The 20,352-nt window shown below is 43.9% G+C and overlaps 2 protein-coding genes and 1 non-coding gene across 19 annotated transcripts in view, besides 12 other annotated features; 2 read left to right on the top strand and 1 right to left on the bottom strand.

Moving 5' to 3' along the window:
* MGME1 (mitochondrial genome maintenance exonuclease 1) overlaps positions 1-8,964 on the bottom strand; it is a 22,533-nt gene extending 13,569 nt beyond the window's left edge. For 2 of the 15 annotated variants that reach the window (NM_001310338.2, XM_006723663.5), the window contains exons 1-4: positions 8,413-8,536; positions 7,184-7,753; positions 4,803-4,847; positions 1,651-1,870 (exon numbers count right to left, since the gene is read on the bottom strand). In NM_001310338.2, the coding sequence (NP_001297267.1) occupies positions 1,651-1,870; positions 4,803-4,847; positions 7,184-7,694 (776 nt within the window). In that variant the 5' untranslated portion in view covers positions 7,695-7,753; positions 8,413-8,536. Of the gene's footprint in view, positions 1-1,650; positions 1,871-4,802; positions 4,848-7,183; positions 7,754-7,939; positions 8,537-8,613 lie in introns of those variants that run through there. The other 13 variants (XM_017028128.2, XM_047440586.1, XM_017028127.3 and 10 more) reach the window with 10 other exon arrangements.
* Positions 6,831-8,030: an enhancer, noted in NCBI's record as "CDK7 strongly-dependent group 2 enhancer chr20:17950167-17951366 (GRCh37/hg19 assembly coordinates)". NCBI's record gives its function as "activates an origin of replication core promoter dependent on BRD2, BRD4, P300/CBP, MED14 and CDK7 cofactors, with strong dependence on CDK7, by STARR-seq in HCT116 cells {active_cell/tissue: HCT116}" and the evidence as "EXISTENCE:reporter gene assay evidence [ECO:0000049][PMID:35650434]".
* Positions 7,542-7,671: an enhancer, noted in NCBI's record as "active region_17578". NCBI's record gives its function as "activates an Ori minimal core promoter by ATAC-STARR-seq in GM12878 lymphoblastoid cells {active_cell/tissue: GM12878}" and the evidence as "EXISTENCE:reporter gene assay evidence [ECO:0000049][PMID:35858748]".
* Positions 7,692-7,891: an enhancer, noted in NCBI's record as "active region_17577". NCBI's record gives its function as "activates an Ori minimal core promoter by ATAC-STARR-seq in GM12878 lymphoblastoid cells {active_cell/tissue: GM12878}" and the evidence as "EXISTENCE:reporter gene assay evidence [ECO:0000049][PMID:35858748]".
* Positions 8,538-9,292: an enhancer, noted in NCBI's record as "NANOG-H3K27ac-H3K4me1 hESC enhancer chr20:17948905-17949659 (GRCh37/hg19 assembly coordinates)". NCBI's record gives its function as "activates a minimal SCP1, AML or CMV promoter by ChIP-STARR-seq in naive H9 embryonic stem cells {active_cell/tissue: H9 hESC(naive)}" and the evidence as "EXISTENCE:reporter gene assay evidence [ECO:0000049][PMID:30033119]".
* Positions 8,538-9,331: a biological region, named in NCBI's record as "NANOG-H3K27ac-H3K4me1 hESC enhancer GRCh37_chr20:17948905-17949659".
* Positions 8,612-8,921: an enhancer, noted in NCBI's record as "active region_17576". NCBI's record gives its function as "activates an Ori minimal core promoter by ATAC-STARR-seq in GM12878 lymphoblastoid cells {active_cell/tissue: GM12878}" and the evidence as "EXISTENCE:reporter gene assay evidence [ECO:0000049][PMID:35858748]".
* The window catches only part of SNX5 (sorting nexin 5), a 27,195-nt gene continuing 15,602 nt past the window's right edge, over positions 8,760-20,352 (top strand). The window contains exons 1-2 of one of the 3 annotated variants that reach the window (NM_152227.3): positions 8,760-8,854; positions 9,097-9,179. In NM_152227.3, the coding sequence (NP_689413.1) occupies positions 9,129-9,179 (51 nt within the window). In that variant the 5' untranslated portion in view covers positions 8,760-8,854; positions 9,097-9,128. Of the gene's footprint in view, positions 9,180-20,352 lie in introns of all 3 variants that reach the window. The other 2 variants (NM_001282454.2, NM_014426.4) reach the window with 2 other exon arrangements.
* Positions 8,922-9,131: a silencer, noted in NCBI's record as "silent region_12699". NCBI's record gives its function as "represses an Ori minimal core promoter by ATAC-STARR-seq in GM12878 lymphoblastoid cells {active_cell/tissue: GM12878}" and the evidence as "EXISTENCE:reporter gene assay evidence [ECO:0000049][PMID:35858748]".
* Positions 9,162-9,331: an enhancer, noted in NCBI's record as "active region_17575". NCBI's record gives its function as "activates an Ori minimal core promoter by ATAC-STARR-seq in GM12878 lymphoblastoid cells {active_cell/tissue: GM12878}" and the evidence as "EXISTENCE:reporter gene assay evidence [ECO:0000049][PMID:35858748]".
* Positions 9,293-10,047: an enhancer, noted in NCBI's record as "NANOG-H3K27ac-H3K4me1 hESC enhancer chr20:17948150-17948904 (GRCh37/hg19 assembly coordinates)". NCBI's record gives its function as "activates a minimal SCP1, AML or CMV promoter by ChIP-STARR-seq in naive and primed H9 embryonic stem cells {active_cell/tissue: H9 hESC(naive and primed)}" and the evidence as "EXISTENCE:reporter gene assay evidence [ECO:0000049][PMID:30033119]".
* Positions 9,382-9,431: an enhancer, noted in NCBI's record as "active region_17574". NCBI's record gives its function as "activates an Ori minimal core promoter by ATAC-STARR-seq in GM12878 lymphoblastoid cells {active_cell/tissue: GM12878}" and the evidence as "EXISTENCE:reporter gene assay evidence [ECO:0000049][PMID:35858748]".
* Positions 11,265-11,344: an enhancer, noted in NCBI's record as "active region_17573". NCBI's record gives its function as "activates an Ori minimal core promoter by ATAC-STARR-seq in GM12878 lymphoblastoid cells {active_cell/tissue: GM12878}" and the evidence as "EXISTENCE:reporter gene assay evidence [ECO:0000049][PMID:35858748]".
* Positions 14,608-14,844, top strand: SNORD17 (small nucleolar RNA, C/D box 17). The gene has a single exon (NR_003045.1). It is a non-coding gene; the product is annotated as a small nucleolar RNA, C/D box 17 (small nucleolar RNA).
* Positions 16,123-16,292: an enhancer, noted in NCBI's record as "active region_17572". NCBI's record gives its function as "activates an Ori minimal core promoter by ATAC-STARR-seq in GM12878 lymphoblastoid cells {active_cell/tissue: GM12878}" and the evidence as "EXISTENCE:reporter gene assay evidence [ECO:0000049][PMID:35858748]".

The following is a 20,352-nucleotide window of genomic DNA, read 5'->3' as shown; positions in this document are numbered from 1 at the left end:
TATATGAGCACTGTACTTAGGGTGGAAGTGTTCCTCCTCTTACTTTCAGGAACGCCCTGCTCTGTCTATGGAGTAGCTATACTTCCACTACTTTACTTTATTAATAAACCTGCTTTTACTTTGCACTGCAGACTCATCCTGAATGCTTTTTCTTTTCTTTCTTTTATTTTTTTTTTTTTGAGACAGAGTCTCACCTGTTGCTCAGGCTGGAGTGCAGTGGCACCATCTCGGTTCACTGCAACTTCTGCCTCCCGGGTTAAAGTGATTCTCCTGCCTCAGACTCCCGAGTAGCTGGGACTATAGGCACACACCACTGCGCCTGGCTAATTTTTGTATTTTTAGTAGAGACGGAGTTTTGCCATGTTGGCTAGGCTGGTCTTGAACTCCTGACCTCAGGTGATCTGCCCACCTCGGCCTCCCAAAGTGCTGGGATTACAGGCGTGAGCCACTGTGCCTGCCTTCAACCTAAATTCTTTCTTGCCCGAGATCGAAGAACCCTCTCGGGGTCTGGATCAGGACCCCTTTCCTGTAACACTTGGACTCTGAAGTACCTGAGTAAAACAGTAAGACAGCTACGATATAAAAACCATGGGGACCGGGCGTGGTGGCTCATGCCTACAATCCTAGCACTTTGGGAGGCTGAGGCAGGCGGATCACCTGAGGTCCGAAGTTCGAGACCAGCCTGACCAACATGGAGAAACCCCATCTCTACTAAAAATACAAAATCAGCCACACATGGTGGCGCATGCCTGTAATCCCAGCTACTTGGGAGGCTGAGGCAAGATAATAGCTTGAACCTAGGAGATGGAGGTTGCAGTGAGCTGAAATCGCACCACTGCACTCCAGCCTGGGCAACAAGAGCAAAACTCCGTCTCAAAAAACAAAACGAAACAAAACAAAACAAAACAACCATGGGAAGCTTTAGTAAGTTCAGATCTCTGATCCATGTCAAGCACTGCCTGGAAGCCAGGAAGAGTTGATTTTCAGAACCAACAGATCATGGTGCTATCTTTAGAAAAACAGGAAAGAAAACGCAGGAATGAAATTGGATCTTATGGCAGGTACCTTGCTTTGGGGGAGGGGAAGGACAGGCTGGCAAACAGGCCATGTTAGGGAGATTGAAAAATCTCGGCCAGGTGCAGTGGCTCACGCCTGTAATCCCAGCACTTTGGGAAACCAAGGTGGATGGATCACTTGAGGTCGGGAGTTTGAGACCAGCCTGGCCAACATGGTGAAACCCTGTCTCTACTAAAAATACAAAAATTAGCCAGGTGCGGTGGTGCATGCCTGTAGTCCCAGCTACTCAGGAGGCTGAGGCAGGAGAACCGCTTGAACCTGGGAGACGGAGGTTGCAGTGAGCCAAGATTGCACCACTGCACTCCAGCTTGGGTGACACTCCGTCTCAAAACAAAACAAACAAACAAAGAATATACCTTTCTCCAGCAAACAATTTGATTTTGGAGTACTGGATGACAAAGGTTACGTGGCTCTTCTCCTTGTACCTGTTCTCAACCCCGCCCCACCCAATTCTTTTACCTAGCACAAAGGTCTGGACATTAAACAGACAGAGGCTACAGTACCTACAGGCACACCTTTGACAGGCACCATCTGTCCTACGCTGTATTAATTCACCTCCAATCTCATACTTACTGATACTCAGCCACACAGTCCAGCAGACCTATATAGTTTAAGGTTTCATGTTGAACAGCACTTTCAAGAGCTCGCACTCCACTGACATCTTTCAGAATATGCTGGACACTTTCAATGTAACCAGACTTGAGGAGATTTTCATCTCTCTCTTTTAAGGTTTCCTGGGGTGAAAGTATGCTTTCCAAGGCTTCGTGGAACCGTTTCCCTTGTAAAAAGACGTCTGAAAAGAAAATCAGGGAAAAGGGGAGGGGGGAAACACAAACAAAGCTAACACTGAAAAACAAATACTCTAAAACGCCCTGAAACAATACAATTAAAAATGACATTTTTTTTTCTTTTTTTTTTTTTTGGATGGAGTCTCCCTCTGTCGCCCAGGCTGGAGTGTAGTGGGCGATATTGGCTCACTGCAACCTCTGCCTCCTGGGGTCAAGTGATTCTCCTGCCTCAGCCTCCTGAGTAGCTGGGATTACAGGCGCCCGCCACCGTGCCTGGCTAATTTTTCTACTTTTAGTAGAGATGGGGTTTCACCATATTGGTGAGGCTGGTCTCGAACTCCTGACCTCGTGATCTGCCAGCCTTGGCCTCCCAAAGTGCTGAGACTACAGGCATGAGCCACCGTGCCCGGCCAAAAATTACATTAGTTATTTTTAAGTGACAACCCCTAAGACCAAATTTCAGCCTCTTGTGAAACCTAAGAATATACTTTGAAACCAACGGGATTATTAATAGGACGTTAGGTAATAAAATGAATTAAAATTAAGTACTTCTAGGAGAATTGGGCCAAAGTCAAAACTGAAGATCTGGCGGCTACAAGACCACATCCAGTTTATGGTACTATGTGTTTAAGTATCCAATGTAATAAGTTAACTGGCTGTGATAAAATAAAAAAAAATTAGAAATCTAGGGAACTGTGCTTCTGTTTGTAGTTCTTTTTAGACCAAAACTTAATTATGAACATAGGTGGGGGAATCCTTTTACTAACAGGATTAGTGACAAACAAGGAATGGAAAATAAGGCATGCGCAAATGAAAAGTTATGAATTTGATATTATGGAATCTGGAGGGGGAGGAAGAGGAAAATATGTGACATTCTTCTCCTGTATTTTTTTTTTAGTGCTGGAACAGCCTGAAAAATTCAGCTGTGTCTCAATTTTTTTCCCTCATACATTTTTCTATTCTAATATTTAATATTTAACATGTAATATTTTTCTAATTAGCTTTAGATTATTAGAATTCTGATTTATGGCTTGTAGGAGGACACATCTTCTTTCTTCCTAACATTTTATAACATGTGAATACTAGAGAAATTTCATTAGGACACATTAGGACACATTATTTTTCCTGTATGTTCATTTTCTGAGGTCAAAGCCTTACTTTTCGTCCCCAGGTTTCTCCGAAAGAACTGTAGTGTCTGGATTTGTTGGCGTATCCCAGGATCTAACTTGATTTTTGAACTCTCTCCTCATTTTCAGTGCTCGTTGGCCTCCAAGCGCTTGCATAGTAAGCCCCCTCCTCATACACATTTTAAAAAAGGGAACATGGCCGGGCATGGTGGCTTATGCCTATAATCCCAGCACTTTGGGCAGCCAAGGCAGGCGGATTACCTGAGGTCAGGAGTTCAAGACCAGCCTGGCCAACATGGTAAAACCCAGTCTCTACTCAAAATACAAAAATTAGCCAGGTGTGGTGGCGCATGCCTGTAATTCCAGCTACTCTGGAGGCTGAGGCAGGAGAATTGCTTGAACCCAGGAGGCAGAGGTTGCAGTGAGCCAAGATCATGCCACTGCACTCCAGCCTGGGTGACAGAGCAAGACAATCTCAAAAAAAAAAAAAAAAAAAAAAACACACAAAGAGACTCAACAAACACAAGAAATATATTCACTTGTTTCTTAGTAAGAGGAGAGAAAGAGGGGGGACTGTTATGCTAAGCAATGGCCTTGGAGCTTTCAAAACATTATTTAATTTTCAAACCCAACAACCCAGCAAAATAGGGATTGTAAGTTACCCCCATTTTAATGAATGAGGCCCTATCCCACCAGGCAGTGCTGTTAATTTGCCCCAAAGCAAAAAGCTGGACAGGCAGCCTGGCACCAGAATCTGTTTCCAATCTACCACACAGTAGAGCAAAGGAAGCAATCTTGGAAATCACCAATTAGATACTCAGAGAAACAGAGCAGGAAATACACGTGCTTGGAACATGCTTGCAGAGAGACCCACAGAAAAGGCGGAAAACAACTTTACATTTGTCAAGTTTTTTTTTTTTTGAGACAGGGTCTTACTTGTCACCCAGGATGGAGTGTACTGGCTCGATCATTGCTCACTGTAACCTTGAACACCTGGCCTTAAGCAATCCTCCTGTCTCAGCTTCCTCTACAGGCATGTGCCACCACGCCTGGCTAATTCAAAAAAATTTTTTTTTTGTAGAGATGCAATCTCTCTACGTTGCCTAGGCTGGTCTTAAACACCTGGCCTCAAGCAATCGTCCCACCTTGGTCTCCCAGAGTGCTGGGATTACAGGCATGAGCCACTGCACTCGGCCTTCAACTATTTTTTACAAAGATGGAAATGTCAATTCTTTTTTTTTCCAGGCTGGAGTGCAGTGGTATGATCTCGGCTCACTGCAATCTCCACCTCCCAGGTTCAAGCGATTCTCCTGCCTCAGCCTCCGTAGTAGCTGGGATTACAAGTGATCGCTGCGCCCGGCTAATTTTTTTGTATTTTTAGTAGAGATGGGGTTTCGCCATTTTGGCCAGGCTGGTTTTGAACTCCTGACCTCAAGTGATCCGCCTGCTTCGGCCTCCCAAAGTGCTAGGATTACAGGCATGAGCCACTATGCCCAGCTGGAAATGTCAATTCTATCATTAGCAAAAAATGGAATCCCTTCTGAAAAATTATTTGGAGAGTTAAATGAAATTCAACTTAGGAACTAAGTTATTCTACTCCAAATTTACTTGACTCAATTGGAATTATTAACACGTGAAAGACCTACAAGAAATTTATGACTGATGGAATTAAAGCCTAGGAAAAAGAAGTGTATAGCATTCATCTACACACTAGGTTAATGAAGCAGAAGACAAACATGTTAAAAACAGGAAGAAAAAAACTTAGCAAATGCCATGCCAATAGACCATACATTTCTCGCTGCAAACTTACCCCTGGCTAGGTTCTTCATATACACATGATCACAAACATGAAAACCTAGATTACAGGATCCTTTAGACACTAAGGCTCAGAACATTCAACATGATTCAATTTATAAAAATAAAAAATGATCCAAGAATATTCACTGCATGTAGCATCAAGTCTGCTTATTCACTCAAAGTAATGAAAGTGAAATGTTTTCAAGTCCTCGTATATGAAGTGCACTAAAAAAAACCTTCATGCATCTCCAGTATTCTCATGATGGAACTGGCAGGATGGCTAATACTTCAGGATTAAATCAGCGTAGCAAAAAAAAAAAAAAAAAAATTAAAACCTAAACCCCATCCCTTTGTGTGTATTTATACACAAAATATAAATCAGAATAAGTCAGACTTTCTCATTCCCACCAGTCTTCAAAAGATGAACTGATGCTTGGGAAACTGCTCAAGTATTTGGAAGAATGCCAGACACATTTCTATGCTCTCACCTTTGAGAAGACTGGGTAGAAATTACTGATCCAATATTTTTCATTAAAAAAATCTTCTTAATTTTTAAAATGTAATTCTTCTTGGGTGCCACCTTCTTGGGTTTGGGATCCAGTATCCTCCAGACCCGTTAATCAATTTAGTGAGCCCTTTTTCTTTTATTCACCATGACACTAATTGTCCCTTTATTTATTTCAGAACCCACTGCTTACTAATACTTATTTTCTAAAAAGAGTGATTCTGCCTGGGCACAGTGGGTCACACCTGTAGTCTCAGTATTCTGGGAGGCCGAGGTGGGAGCACCACTTGAAGACAGGAGTTGGAGACTAGCCTGGGCAACATAGGGAGACCCTTGTCGCTACAAAAAATAAAAAAATTAGCCAGGCATGGTGGTGCACGCCTGTGGTCCCAGCTACTCAGCAGGCTGAGATGGGAGAATCACTTGGGTCCCGGCGGTCAAGTCTGGGCGGGGTGCTGGGGTAAGCGATTCTGCTCATTTCTTAAGGTTGCTACTGAGTTAACTGAGAAACACAGCTGAGTGCTAATCTAGATCAACAAAGCTGACTCTATGAAAAAAAAAACAACCAGTCTTCTCTCTGCCTGGGCTATTGGGGCTCATTCACATTCCAAACAGAAATTCCTCTCTGGTGCACTTCCTTACTTTGTGCCAAGAGCTACAGGCCCTGGGGTCCCATGTGTTCCAGCAGGTTTCTGCCTTTTAATAATACATTTCTTATTAGTAATTTCAGCTGTACATTCCTGGTTTAAGGAAAATAACTTCTCATGAGAAAACTATCAATTCTAAATTTTAGTGGTACAAATACAAAACTGTAAGATGCCATTAGAAGATTTTTATGTTGCTTGCTTGGAAAGCAGACAATAGTTTGGTGGTTGCTACTAATTAACTATCTTAGGAAGGCAGTTAGCTCTTGCATATATAATCCTTGCCCCACACAGCTGAGGAATATTATAAGGAGCAAAGGCCTTGACCATTTGGTACATATCCAATACCACCTATATATACTTAGTATTTTTCTTTAGAACATGTGACATGTTTAATGTGTTACACGCATAGTTTTAGGAGTCTGGATTAGGGAAAAGACGACTTAAATAGAAGCCCAGGCTATGGCAAGGGTCAGTACACTATTCTTAAAACAAAAATGAAAGAGTTTGTGTACTACTAAGAGTACATGTACTGCACTTTGGGAAGCTTGGGTAAAGGAATGATTGATGTGAAACTTTCCTTTAACAAAAGACCCCTATATAATTTATGGGACTAGCTAATTCACCAGTGCCAATGGTCTTTGTTTTTGAATGGAATATTAAATTTAAGGAAGCTATTCTCCTCACTTGTCCAAGTTAGTAAATTAGAAGTTGAAGGTTAAAGTGTATTTATCCTCAGATCCTTATGAAGAACCTCTGATTATGTTTACCAAGGTCTAAATATAGGTCATGTGTTCTGGTCTGCTTCAAGGTCTTTAAATTTACGAGTCAGTTTACGCTAATAAGTAGGACAGTGGGTATTTACTGGATTCTAAACAGAATTATCTAGCAAACAACTAGAATTCTGTTACCAGGTGACTTTTTTCAATAATCAAGGAAAACAAGCAATTCTAATATTGTTGGTAGCTTATAAAACAAGTGAATTTTATGTATTATTTAGTCAAATATTTGATCTATTTTAGTTTCATCTGTAAAATGTGGATAACAGTATCTATACTCCACAGGACTACCATGAGGATCAAGTGAGTTAATACACATAAAGTGCTATTTAATGTTAATTACTATCTGAAGGGAGTTCCTTGCTAGTAAGTTAAAAAAACAAAACCAAACCTCATTCTTTTGACACCGTTGCTCTCTATTATAGAAAACATAGCAAACATATAGAATCAGAATTGAGATAATTACTTGAAGTGTATTCTTTAAAGCCATCTTCTCCCAGTTCCAGAATCATCCGCTGTTTCCACCTCTCCAACAAGAAAACCTGTTGTTTTGTCATGGTCTGCTGAAGGACTCGGGTCACACTTGGTATCACATTCCTTTGCAAGGGGATTTTCAAAGGAACTGAAGGATCACTTGCATTTGGTTTATCACTTCTCTCTGGATTGAAGATAGGAAACCAGTTTTGTGGCACTCGTCTGTCCTCACCTTGGTTTGGCAGCTTATGCTTGCTCACGGGTCCACAGAGCAAAGCATCTTCCTCCACCGATCCCGGGGTCTGGGCGACGCCTCTGGATGACAAGACAGACTGAACTAAATTAGAGTATTTTTCTTGGTCCACTTCTTCATATGGGTTCACTTTTTTCTTCCGGCCACATGAGTAAGAGGAAGTAGAGAAAGCCACAAGGGCAGCTGATTCCACAGAAAACTTTGAACTCCTGAGCTGCCTGCAAATGGTCTGAAATAACTTCATCTTCATTCAGATTTGTTTTCACTTTAGTCTATTTGCAACGGTCGAAGGCCTTTATGTTTGTATTCCTATTGGAGAGAAAACAACCATCAAAGCGAAAGCTGCATCAGAATGATATTGCACATCAAAATTGTGAACTTTTTCGACATGTTTGGACAGAGCCCTTTCTTAAGAAAGTCGACAGAGCGAGACCCTGCCTCCAAAAAAAATTTATAAATAAATCAAGACTCAATACCCGAAGGACCGACACATACTAAATGCGAATTAGTAGACAGCTTGAGGCAAGACGTCCCAGTTTCTAATCTGCAGGAATGTGACGCCCAGGAAGGGAGGCGTGTGCGAGACACGGAAAAACACAAAGATGGAGCCCGTCCCATGGCGGCCACACAGTCCTAGGTGACAGACGACGACTAATTCCTAGACACCAGGCTCTCTGCTAAGTATTCTGTGTGGATACTTCTCATTTGGTCCTCACACCCTCTACCGTGGGTCTAGAATGAACCCGTTGCACAGACGTGGAAATCGGGTTGGAGGGTCCCGTCGCTCGCCGGTCAGAGCTGGTGGCGGCGCTGAGGTCCCATTACTGTGACCGCAAAAAGTCGCCTCCCGCTCCGCCGTGGGTGCGGACCCCTGGCGGGGCCAGGACGGCGGTGGCCCCTGTGGCAGGAGTCTGGATTAGAGAAAAGACGACTTAAATAAAAGCCCAGCCTACGGCAAGTGTCGGTACCTTGGAAGCCACCACACTTCGCTTAACTCTCAAGGCGCGAACAACCTCTCGCGACCCGTACTTTCATCCGTCCCGCGCTTTGGTTTCGAATTAGGCACAGCCTAAGGCAAAGCAGGTCCAGAATGCCCCGCGGCGCTCACGCCCCACCCGAGGCTTTCGTCGGCCTCCGCCAACGCGCCACCAGTTAGAGGCAGGGAGTACCTCTCCGAGCGGAAGGGCCGGCGTCTCCGAAGCGCGGGAGCCTCCAAATCGCGCCCTTCTGCTCTCACGAGATCTGGTGACGTCAGCGCTCGCTGCCATCTTGGACTCGGGCTGAGTAATAAATTCCCCCCGCACCGAAACGCGGTCTTTCTCTAGACGCGTCTTGCTGGGAGAGTGTCCGTTGCTTCCCGTCCGTGTCGCGGCCCTGCGGTTGGCGGCCTCCTCGTGGAGCGGAGCAAGGGTAGGCCCCACGTGGCGTCTTTGCCCGGCTCCAAGATGGACGGCAGCGGGGACTGGGAGGCTGCTCTGGGGGAGCACGTGGCGCCCTGCTCGCCTGCTCCCGGGGCAGCTGGGATGGTGGCGGAGTCCGGAGGCCTCCTGCCGCCGTCGGGCAGGGAGGCCGGCGGAGGCGGGGCCGTGGCCGCCCCCGAGAGGCGCCCAGGCGGCGGCGGCGGCGGCCCAGCTTCTTCTTTCCTCGCACAGCCAGGCGGCCCCTGCTCGAGTCCCGCGTCGCCATGGCCGCGGTTCCCGAGTTGCTGCAGCAGCAGGAGGAGGACCGCAGCAAGGTGAGGTCCTCCCAGCCTCAGACTCCTGGGCGGGCGGCCCTGCGAGCTCCGGGGTCGCTGCATTCTTTCCCTTGCGCGTCCATAGGCCGTGGCTGCTCGCCGCCATCCCCAGCGCGGGAAGCACCCGTGAGACCCGGGCGGCCCCTCTCCCTGGTCTTCACTGAAGGCTGCCCCGGGGAATCCCTGTGGATGTCCCGGATTCTATTAGGACAGAACCAGAGACGCGGGACCTTAGCCCCAGCTCAGGCGCCGGTGCCGAGCGGACTTGGAGAGATGATCTCTGGAGACCCCGGAATGTTCTTTTTAAAACTTTCCTCGGCTTCGTGGTGACCAGTAGGTGAACGTGAAATTGACTTAACATGCGACAGACCAGTTTGGTTTGTTGCCCCCAAAATACCCTCCTTCCCCCCACCTTTTACTGAGAAGACTTTTTTGGGGGGGGGGCCCAAACAACTTGGGAAATTGCATCAAGCGTCCGAACATGCTGCTTACAACTTTAGAAACGCAAAATGCGTTGTTGTGGGAGTTGTGTAATTTTTAGTAGGTGCTCAAATACTTGCTGAACTTGGTGTCTATTTTTAAGTCTTGCCCATTGATGTAAACTGTCCCTAGGTCACGTGTATCTTGAGGTCTAAAAGATTATTTATGCAATAAATTGAAATTCCCATAGCCAATTAAAGATTCAGACGAGCCTCCACTCTTTTTCATTGGTTCTTTAAATTTGCCTCGGTAGCTTTGCGATGCATGGTTTGCGAGCAACCTTTCTTGCAGAATCGTCAACGTAAGTTTTTCTGACCGATGAAAAAGAACCTCTAAAAATACAAGGCTCTCTTAAAATGTAATTTGGAGCCGTCTTAACTTACACATTTCTTGAGAAGTTAAAGGCACCTCCATAGAGAAACTTGTTCATCTAGTAAGTAAATACCAGAGTTTCAAAGCGGCTGGATTGTTCCAACAAGGGTATCATTGCATTAATTATTAAAATAGAGCTTTCTATACAGGAGGGTGTTGTTTAGAGTGGTTTTTTTTTTGAAAGTTCTTTATTACTAAAACAAAGTGGAAACTTGAGACCACGATTCTTTGTAAAACATTATAAAGGTACTTTTCTCCATAAAGGGTAGATAATGGATTGGGATTTTGGTAGCATTTTATTTTTTCTTTCTTTCTGGTACATTCTTTTAGCTGTCTTGATTCGGAGTCAGCTAGGTAAAAGGACTCAATTGCTTCACCCCACTCTCTGGTAGTACAGTATATTGCAGCTGGTTTTTAAAATGACTTCCACCACCCTGATCCTCCAGCAAAATTGGAGAATGGTTATGAAGGCCATTTCCTGCCTGTTTTAGAGGCTACAGAAACTGTCCGTATCTGTAGCGAAGAGAGTTACATGACATTGTTTTCCTTTTTACATTACAGGAATAAAGAGACAATAAAAATAAATAATTACCCTGACGCGTGGCTTTATTTTTGTTTTCTGATCTCTGCTGATGCTGATAACCTGCTGTGGTCTGGCCTAGATGGTGTTATGGTTAACTGAAAGGGAGTTTGGGGCAAGTATGAAATAATGGGAAACTAAGTCTTGGGCAACTTTTTGCCATAATACAATTTCGGTAGTCAACTGAAATGTTTTGTGTGTTACCTGAAATGTGTGTTACTTAAATTGTTTAAATGCCCTCCTGATAATTTACTTTGGTTTGGAATTCTCCCTAAGGATGGAGTTAATTAAGACTCACTAAGGTAGGGGGACATACTTGATTCTTCAGGATTTTGAATTCTAGCCCAATACTCATTTTGGCCAATTCAGCAAAACTGAAAGGGAATACTGTGTCAGTCGTGTCTGGTAGCCAGACACTGGCATTTTGTTACATTCTTTAGCCGAGGGTGTTGGGGTTTGCCTTCTTCCTCAGAAAATAGTTCAGGGGAAGAGATGCATGGTTAATTTGGTTCCTAACTGGTCCTCTATTTACTGGTTTTTGATTTTTTTTTTTTTTTTGAGACGGAGTCTCGCTCTGTCGTCCAGGCTGGAGCGCAATGGCTCGATCTCAGCTCACTGCAACTTCCGCTTTCTGGGTTCAAGCGATTCTCCTGCCTCAGCCTCTCAAGTAGCTGGGATTACAGTCGCTCACCGCCATGCCCGGCTAATTTTTGTATTTTTGTGGAGACCGGGTTTCACCATGTTGGCCAGGCTGGTATTTGAACTCGACCTTCGCAGCCTAGTGCTATTTTTAACTAGGGGGTTCTCCTTCCTTGACAGTAACAACTTGGCCTTAACTTACTGCTTGGTTACAGGGACTTTGGTGAATGATATCTGTCCTCTTACCTACTCAGGAGTGTTTGTAGACTAAGTACTGCTGCTCTGGTTTCGTGTTTAACTGGTGTGGAAGCTGCCTCTAGGGGTATTTTTGTTCTCCATTAGCTAGAATGGAGTGCAGTTGGTTAGTATAGGAACAATCCTGAACTTTGACCAATACCATAGCAAGTCCAAACTTACAAACTTTGTGGACTGAAGCTTTATGCTACCCTTGCAACTATTTTCTAAGTTGAGGAAGTATGACGTATCAAGCTTCCCACGCCTTAGTTCTAGTTCAGTAACTTGTACTCGGTGTCTTAAGATCCCCATTTGTGAATACTCTAAAAGGTCATTATCTGTTCACATTATTTTGGCCATAGGTAGAAATGGCCAAGAGGCTTTTTTTTTTTTTTTTTTGAGACAGGGTCTGGCTCTGTCACCCAGGCGGGAGTGCAGTGTCACGATCACAACTCACTGCAGCCTCGACCTGGGGAGCTCAGGTGATCACCCCCACCTCAGCCTCCTGAGTAGCTGGGGCTACAGGCACACACCAGCATGCCCACCTAATTTTTGTATTTTTTGGTAGAGATGGGGTTTCACCATCCAGTTCAACATGCCGGGATTACAGGCATGAGCCATTGTGCTTGGCCAAGGCTGTTAAGTTTTCTAGATTTGTTTCTGAGCTGTAAACTCCTCATTCGGTGAGACCTAGTGGTCATCTAAACTAGAGGTTGAGTTTAAAATTCAGTTTCTCAACCTGGGGAGCACTGTTGACATTTTAGCCTGATCACTTTTGTTGAGGAGTGCCCTCTGGGTTGTAGGATGTGAAGCAACTGTTTTTGGCCTCTGCTAGGACGCGGCCTCCTCCCCTCCCATGGTGATAAGAAGTCAAAATTGCCTGTTTGAGAATCACTGGTTTAAACGGACTTCCTTCTAAAATGGTGTGATATGGGTGGGGTCAGGTTGTGTTACAGAAGCTAGTCTTTGTGTGCTTGTTGCGAATTTTTCAGGTTTTCTATTAATCTTGCCTAAGGAAATAACATGCCATGTAAAAATTAGCATTGTTGGATATCTTTGTGAGAATAAAGCTTTTCCACTAATACTGAGGAACCTTAACAAAAGGTGGTGAAAGATGGTTTTCTTCAGCAGGTTCTGGGTACTTGAGGGTTGCAAAGGGAGGGCTTCGTGTTTGTGTTTGTGAGTGTAGGCTTTGGACACTGGAAACTTACCTGAGTTTCTTGTGCTGCAGAGGGGAACTTGGTTTAAAATTCTGCTGTTTCAGCATTTTTCTGTCTTTATTATCAGGGTCTTGATGCTCGAGCAAATTAGGTGAGAACAGATCTATAGGTTAGTACCCTGAATGTCTTAAATAGCCCGTGGTCACAACAGTGTGTAGTGAAGTTAAATAGTATTTAAGGAAACAGTCTAACTTTTAATGATCCCAATAGTGAGAAACGGCTATTAAAGTGTAAATTAAGTTTCTCTGCATGATCTAACTTTCCAAAAAGTGGCTTCTTCACCCTTAATACCTGTTTTCTGATTGGCCATTGAGGTACTCTGACAAGATCTCCTAAAAGAGATCTTCACACCTTCACATGCTGCCTAAAGGCAAACCATAGTACCCCAGGAGGAGTAAGTTGCAGTTTGAGGGGCAGCCAACACTTAAGTTTAAAAATGGGGGTCCTTGGCTTGACTCTTCTTTTTACATTTTGGCATAACTTTTTTAGGCATTCCTATATGGTCTGGAGAGAAAACTAATTTTCTGCCTGAAAAGCTCAGTTTCTGAAGGGCACACTCCTAAGCATTCTAGTCATGGTAAATGGTGAGGAATACAAATCCAGATGGCTCCCTTGTCAGGGTTTTCACTTTTTCTTTCAAGAGCACCGCAGAGCTAGGACATTGTGCTGTTAGATACTTGGTAGCTGGTGGGTGATAAAATGTTGGACTTCTTCCCTCACCCTTCCTATATCTTTCATGAATTTTGTTTTGAATTCTTGTATTTATTTTGTTTAGAATTCTTTTTCTCAAGACAGTCTTGCTGTGTTGCCCAAGCTGGTATCGAACTCCTGAGCTCAGGCCATCTTCCTGCACTCAGCCTCCTGAATGGGCCCCTGGTCTGAGTATTGGAATATTTACATCTGAATGATTTGGGAAATTTGCTGTACCTCAAACTCAAGAGTGAAAGAAATGTCCAACCAAAAAGCGGGCAGCCTGCTCTCCATGCTGCCATTTGTATTTCAAACTGAGATGACCAAGGTTAAGTTCAAACAGGCAGCTCTACCACTGTTGCTGAATCGTCTTTCTTGGTAAAGGTAAATTGTCAAACCTATTTCCTGTGCATCTTGGTTTGATCATGAAGTGAGACCATGAAGGAAGGCAGTAAATGTCCTTCAACACCCTCATCCACATGAGTAATATGGACCATCTTAGCTTTGTTGAAGAGGGCTTGTTCCAGCCTTGGCAACAGAGTGAGACCCTGCTACAAAAAAGGGGGCTTGCTGACTTGATATGGTATGCCAGTGAACTTTTGGGAGGGAGCCATGATGGGATTGGGTAGTAGGTGAAGGCTTTTAGCTCTGAGTAAAGGAAACTGGCATTTCTGTTTTTTACTTTTTGAGACAGGGTCTCAGGGTCTCGGCCTGCTCCCAGGCTCGAGTTCAGTGGTCTGATCGTAGTTCACTGCAGACTCAAAATCCTGAGCTCAAGTGATCTTCCCACCTCAGCCTCCCAGAGTGTTAGGAGTAAAGGCATAGGCCACCGAGCCTAGGTGATTTTTTTTAAGGCTTTGCTGTGTTGCCCAGGCTTGTCTCAAACTCCTGGCCGCGGGCGATCCTCCTGCCTCAGCCTCCCAAAGTGCTGGGATTACAGACAAGAACCTCTCTGCCTGGCTGGGTTTCTTTTATTCATTTGTTGGACCTGCTTTCTTGGTAGCAGTGGTGTATTGATTCCCAGTAGGATTTATCTGCCAGGAGATCCTTACAGATCATTAGTTCAGCTGTTTTGCTTTGTGAATTCATTTGAAAGTATTATAATTTCGGTACTTAGTAATTAGATGGATTTCTTGACATGCATTAGATATTTAAGGCAGTAATTTAACTCTGGTTCCATGTTGATTCCATTAGTACATGGGCTTGCAGCCTTGTGAAATGATGATTCAGTTTATCCATTCGCTGAGTGCGCTGCACTGACCTTCTTCCAAGCCTCAGTTCCTGTTCTAGGAACTTGAGGCTATGTAGCCTGAAAATGCCCTGCAGTCTGCAGTGTTCTACTGTGAACTGCTTGTGTGTTGGCAGGCTACCGGTAAGAATGGTTGGTGTCAGCAGGGACGGGGCCCTCTGAGACCCATCTCACAAAGATGAGTGGTGAAAATCTGATCACTTGCTGCAGCCCTTTAGTTTTTTATTAAGCCGATGCCTGAGTAGCTTTAATAGCTATTAGCTATGTTAGTAGACTGAGATCTTCTGTTAGAAGTCTTTAGTTCTGTTTTCCTTGGGGGACTAAGAAATTATATTGCAGGCCTGAATTACAGGAAGGGGAGAACCAATGGCTAGGGAATGAGAGCCAATACCTGTAAAAGCAGAGTTGGGCTGGGCGCGGTGGCTCACGCCTATAATCCCAGGACTTTGGGAGGCTGAGGCGGGCAGATCACGAGGTCAGGAGTTAGAGACCAGCCTGACCAACATGGTGAAACCCTGTCTCTACTAAAAATACAAAAATTAGCTGGGTGGGGTGGTGGGCGCCTGTAATCCCAGCTACTCAGGAGGCTGAGGCAGGAGTATCTGGGAGAATTGAACCCCGGGGGTGGAGGTCGCGGTGAGCTGAGACTGTGCCACTGCACTCCAGCCTGGGCAACAGAGTGAGACTCCGTCTCAAAAAAAAAAAAAAAAAAGCAGAGTTAATATATTGCTTATAGTTAGTTGAACCAGTTGTTTCTCACACACCAGTGCCATAATCTAAAGCTGAGATTGAACACAGATAGGTACGTATTAGTTATCTTCAGGATGGCAGAGAATAGTAACAATTCGGAGCACCAATGGGAACATTGTTTCCTGAGAGTTCAAACAGTAACAAAGTAGCATGTGTTTCCTAAATATGTATCATGTGAATCTTTAATATTTGTGGACATTAATACAAATCTAGAGTGTGACAGAACATCTTTGAATTTTATATTCTCACTTAACAAATATTGGACTAGGCAAGGTGTGGATATCTTTCCAGCTGAAAATCTGATCAAGGAGGCAGGCTTCTTGGCTCCATGCTAAGAATCATCGATGATTTGTCATATTGGCCCTCTTGCTGGCAAAATCTTAGTTTCTTAGGCAGTGGAATGAAACATAACAAAACAAAATCCCTAGAGGCTAGGAACAGATAGTTTGAAAGAGAAGACACTGTAGCATGTGCTGCTTAAGTACATATCTTCTGCTTTTGGAATGGAAACTAGGAAGTCATTTAAATAGATATGTGTCTTTTTTATCCTATCTGTAGTAATTTATGTGGGATATTCAAATAGGAAAATACAGGCTAGCACTGCATATTGTATCCATGTCTTACATTGTATACAAATGACTATTAGATTTAAATGACTGTTCAACTAGCCCCAATCTAACAGATCAGAGATTGTGGAGTTTCACTTCTTTGGACTGTGTCTTTTTCATTTTGGCACTGAGTCTGCAGTCACCATAACCACTTAGAAAAAACTGTATTTTTTCTGTTCTCCTGGTGGGTTCTGAGTTTTAGAATCTTGCCTTTTGTGTTGTTCAGTCATCCAGGTGCCCTTTGCCCTCTGTAAGCCATTAAACCTTTTGAAGAGGCAGCTTTGCTGGTAGAGTCGTAAGTGAAATTTGGACCAAAAGTGAGTTTATGAAGACTGGTGGGCAGGAGCTCAACAGCTGCAGGGTTGTCCTGCAGCCAGTGTCTGATGTGCCCCAGCTGGGAAGCTGATGAATAGGTGAGGAAATGCACAGGGATTCCGTAACTACTTTTCTCCTTTTAGGGAAGTGCCTTGGCTCTCTTACCAAAAGCACTGCGATTTTTTAAAACAGTTGAAAATGTGCTTTCCAAATGAAGCCGTGCTTGTTTACCGTGAAGGCTGATTATAATCCGTATTGTAAGGATTGACCTGGTAGGGAAGTACATCATGAACTGAAACTTTACCTAAAACTTTGGATACGTGATCCAGTAGTTTCAAGGGAAATCTACAAAAGTCAGGTTTTTAAAAATTTTTTAAAAATTCTGAAATAGAGATGAGGTCTCACCGTTTTGCTCAGGCTGGGTTGTTGGGTTTGTTTTTTATGTGTAGTTTTTTTTTTTTTTTTTGGAGACTCGCTCTGTTGCCCAGGCTGAAGTGCAGTGGTGCGATCTTGGCTCACTGCAACCTCCTCCTCCCGAGTTCAAGCAGTTCTTCTGCCTCAGCCTCCTGAGTAGCTGGGATTACAGGCGCACGCCACCATGCCAGGCTAATTTGTGTGTGTTTTTTTGTTTGTTTGTTTTTTTAAGACGGAGTTTCGCTCTCATCGCCCAGGCTGGAGTGCAGTCGCGTGATGTCGGCTCACTGCAACCTCTGCCTCCTGGGTTCAAGCGATTCTCCTACCTCAGCCTCCTGAGTAGCTGGGATTACAGATGTGCGCCACCATGCCCAGCTAATTTTTGTATTTTTGGTAGAGACGGGGTTTCACCGTGTTGGCCAAGATGTTCTCGATCTCCTGACCTTGTGATCTAGCTGCCTCCACCTCCCAAAGTGCTGGGATTACAGGCGTGAGCCACCGTGCCTGGCCACTTTTTGTATTTTTAGTAGAGACGGGGTTTCACCATGTTGGTCAGGCTGGTCTCGATCTCCTGACCTCAAGTGATCTGCCTACCTTGGCATCCCAAATTGCTGGGATTGCAGGCGTGAGCCACCACACCCAGCCAGAAGTCAGTTTTAAAACTTAAATTATTTGAGAGTAGGTATATTTTCAATTTGATTCTTACAAGTGACCTAAGGGATCTGGAAAAGAGGTAAAACTTTGCATGGTAAAGGTCCGGCATGCCCAAGGCTGGACTTGGTTCTAAAGCCTGCTTTGTTAACTGTTGTAAACGGCCACTGTAAGCATTGTAACATCTGTGGCCTAAGTCAGAGACTCAAGTGTTGGCCAGCAGGGCTAAGGAGTACTCTGAGCCCTTCAAGCTTAAGGGGGGATGGAGGCAGAGGCAAGTGAGAGGGGAAGAGTGGAGCCTGGCAATTATTTAGCAAGTTCTGTAGCACTGTGGAGTGGGTTTGTTGACTAAGCAGAAGGAATGCTGAACTTTTGGTCACACTTGATGCTTCCCGAGTGAGAGTACAAATGCTGACTTAGAAGCTCTAGTCATTTCACAAGTTTCTACCCATGTTTGTCTCATCTGGAGGGTTATATGCTATAATATGAGAAAGTTCATTTAACTTGCGCCTGGGGGACATTGAGTTAATGATGGCCTGGATGCTGAGGGGTTTTGCCAATACTCTCTTTTAGACAGTTCTTTAAGGCCCAAATACAACATTGCATTATTTGCTTATTTGGTGGTTAGGACTGTCATGTCAAGTGATTGGAGTTTTGCTTGAATCCCTTCCTAGGGCGAAATGTCTGGGCAAAATGGCTGCTAGTGAACCTCGGATGTTTGATATGCTGTGGTTGCAGTCACTCATAACCTAGTGGTTTTCTTCTTTTTGTCTTCATCACATTCTGAAACAAAAAATATGTTTCTATACTAACCAGAAAGGAAGACAGGTATAGTCGGGGGTATTACCTCTACATGGGGAAAGGGACGAAAAGAGAAGATAATTATTCAGAGGAACGAAAAGCAGCTAAAGCAGCTGGTAGCATCCATTGCAGCTTTAACTGTGGTGCACAAATGAGCTCCATTTACTTGATTACATCCCCCTTGGGTCCTCCTATTCGAATTCCAAGGGTATCCCATGTGGAGTTCACAGGCTCACTGAGTTTGCTGGGCTTGTGAGCGAAAATGGAACTGTCAGCATATTCATTTGAGCAGTGCTAGAAGTCAGGGTTTGTGACTTTAGGAAATGGAATCTTAGGAAATGTGGCAGTTTTTGAGCTCTGGGAAAGGCACCTTAGACCTGTCCTGTGAGCTGTCCTATGTCTCCTCCAGAGACCATGGCTACTTCTTAGGCCTGGCTCTGTTTATTCCTGTTCTTGGGCCTGCCTGACCTTGACAGATAAGCCTAAGATCAGTAGAGTCGTTGGTATAGCCTCTGCAATCACATCTCAGTTAATGATTTGAGGTATTTTTAAAGGCTGTATTTGCCAGTGTTAACTTAGCAGAAGGAAGGAAGCTCTTATCAGAAAATACGCCAAAGCTGGAGTCAGTTATGATCAAATGAAGTCGCAGACCTTGAAGCTTTATCTTTGTTTGCAGAGATCTCACAAATGGACATGTGAAAATTAAGCCAGACAAGCAGATATTTCATAGGAGTTATCAAGAATTCATGTGGAAGAAAAATACTTAGGTTGAGATGTGAGGACTCAAAAGTATCTGTTTTGATCTTACTAATAGTTGATGTTAAAATCAACTTCTGGTGACTACTTGAGCTTAATTTTTTGGAGGAAAGCCATTGTAATAGGCTCCCTCTGGCTTTCAGAATTATAAATATACAGTGCTTAAGGAAAAAGGGAGTACTTGAAACTTAAGTAATCCATGTGCTTTTAGTGAATATATTTAGTCTTTTTATAGCTGATTGACCAGATTTTCAAGTTTTAGAGGTTAAGTACATAAGTTTTTAGTCTTGAACTTTTTATTTTGAAGAAAGGGACCCAAAGGGAAATTTGGAGTGAAATACCTCATCTTCTTAATTGTAATCTTCACTTGGCATTCCGTGCTTTGGGTAATCCAGTGTTATGACAACTTTACTTTAGCACTCCTTACAGTAAAAGGAATGGGGCAATGAGATGCTTACGCTATGAGTTCCTCGTGCCTTGTGTGTCAGGTTTTCAGATTGACCACCACCTTGTCTGCTTTAATGTACTTTTATTTAAGTCACTTTTCCCTAATAGCCCAGTTCCTATTAGTGCTGCCACTGTTCTCTCCTCTCTTTTTTTTTTTTTTTTTTTTGACGGGCAGAAATGGAGTTAGGTAGTTTTTTTCCTCTCAATTTCCAGCTCAGAAAATCAGTTAATTGAGTATTCAGAGTGATGCTCACACTTGTTGCTCATGTGTAACCACAGTGGGATTGTGCTAATTAAGTAAGGCCTTGGTTGGTTTTTCTAATTCACCCCTCCTGTCTAGATTCCTTGGCTATTTGAAACAGTCCCAGGTTTACTCTGAACTCTCCACCCAGGATCCTATTCCACATGACTGTTCTCTGTGCCATCTCCCCAGGTTTTCCTTTCAGATATTTGTGTGGCCTGGTTAATGCCTCTTGAATGTTCATTGTACTTTGGCATTTATGTAAGAATTCAAGATTTTGTTCTATTTAGTTCAGGCCTTAGTGTACAGTCAGGTATTTGGCCAAATGTATTGTACATGACATTATTGTAGCTGTTGTTTACATTACAGGAATACTTCGGATATACCAATGCATGTGAAGAATGGGTTTCCCCTCAGTTTCACATAAACTTAGAAATGTCTCAACTGACATTTCTTTTTCTTTTTTTTAATTTTTAATTCTTTTTTTTTTTTTTTGAGACAGTTTCGCTCTGTCGCCCAGGCTAGAGTGCAGTGGTGTGATCTCAGCTCACTGCAAGCTCCGCCTCCAGTGTTCAGGCCATTCTCCTGCCTCAGCCTCCCAAGTAGCTGGGACTACAGGTGCCCGCCACCACGCTTAGCTAATTTTTTGTATTTTTAGTAGAGACGGGGTTTCACCATGTTAGCCAGGATGGTCTCCATCTCCTGACCCTGTGAACCACCCGCCTT

The sequence above is a fragment of the Homo sapiens genome, chromosome 20 (assembly GCF_000001405.40).
Source record: "Homo sapiens chromosome 20, GRCh38.p14 Primary Assembly".
NCBI lineage: Eukaryota > Metazoa > Chordata > Mammalia > Primates > Hominidae > Homo > Homo sapiens.
Note: the sequence above shows the minus strand (reverse complement) of the source record. Positions and strands in the feature narration are given on the sequence as shown.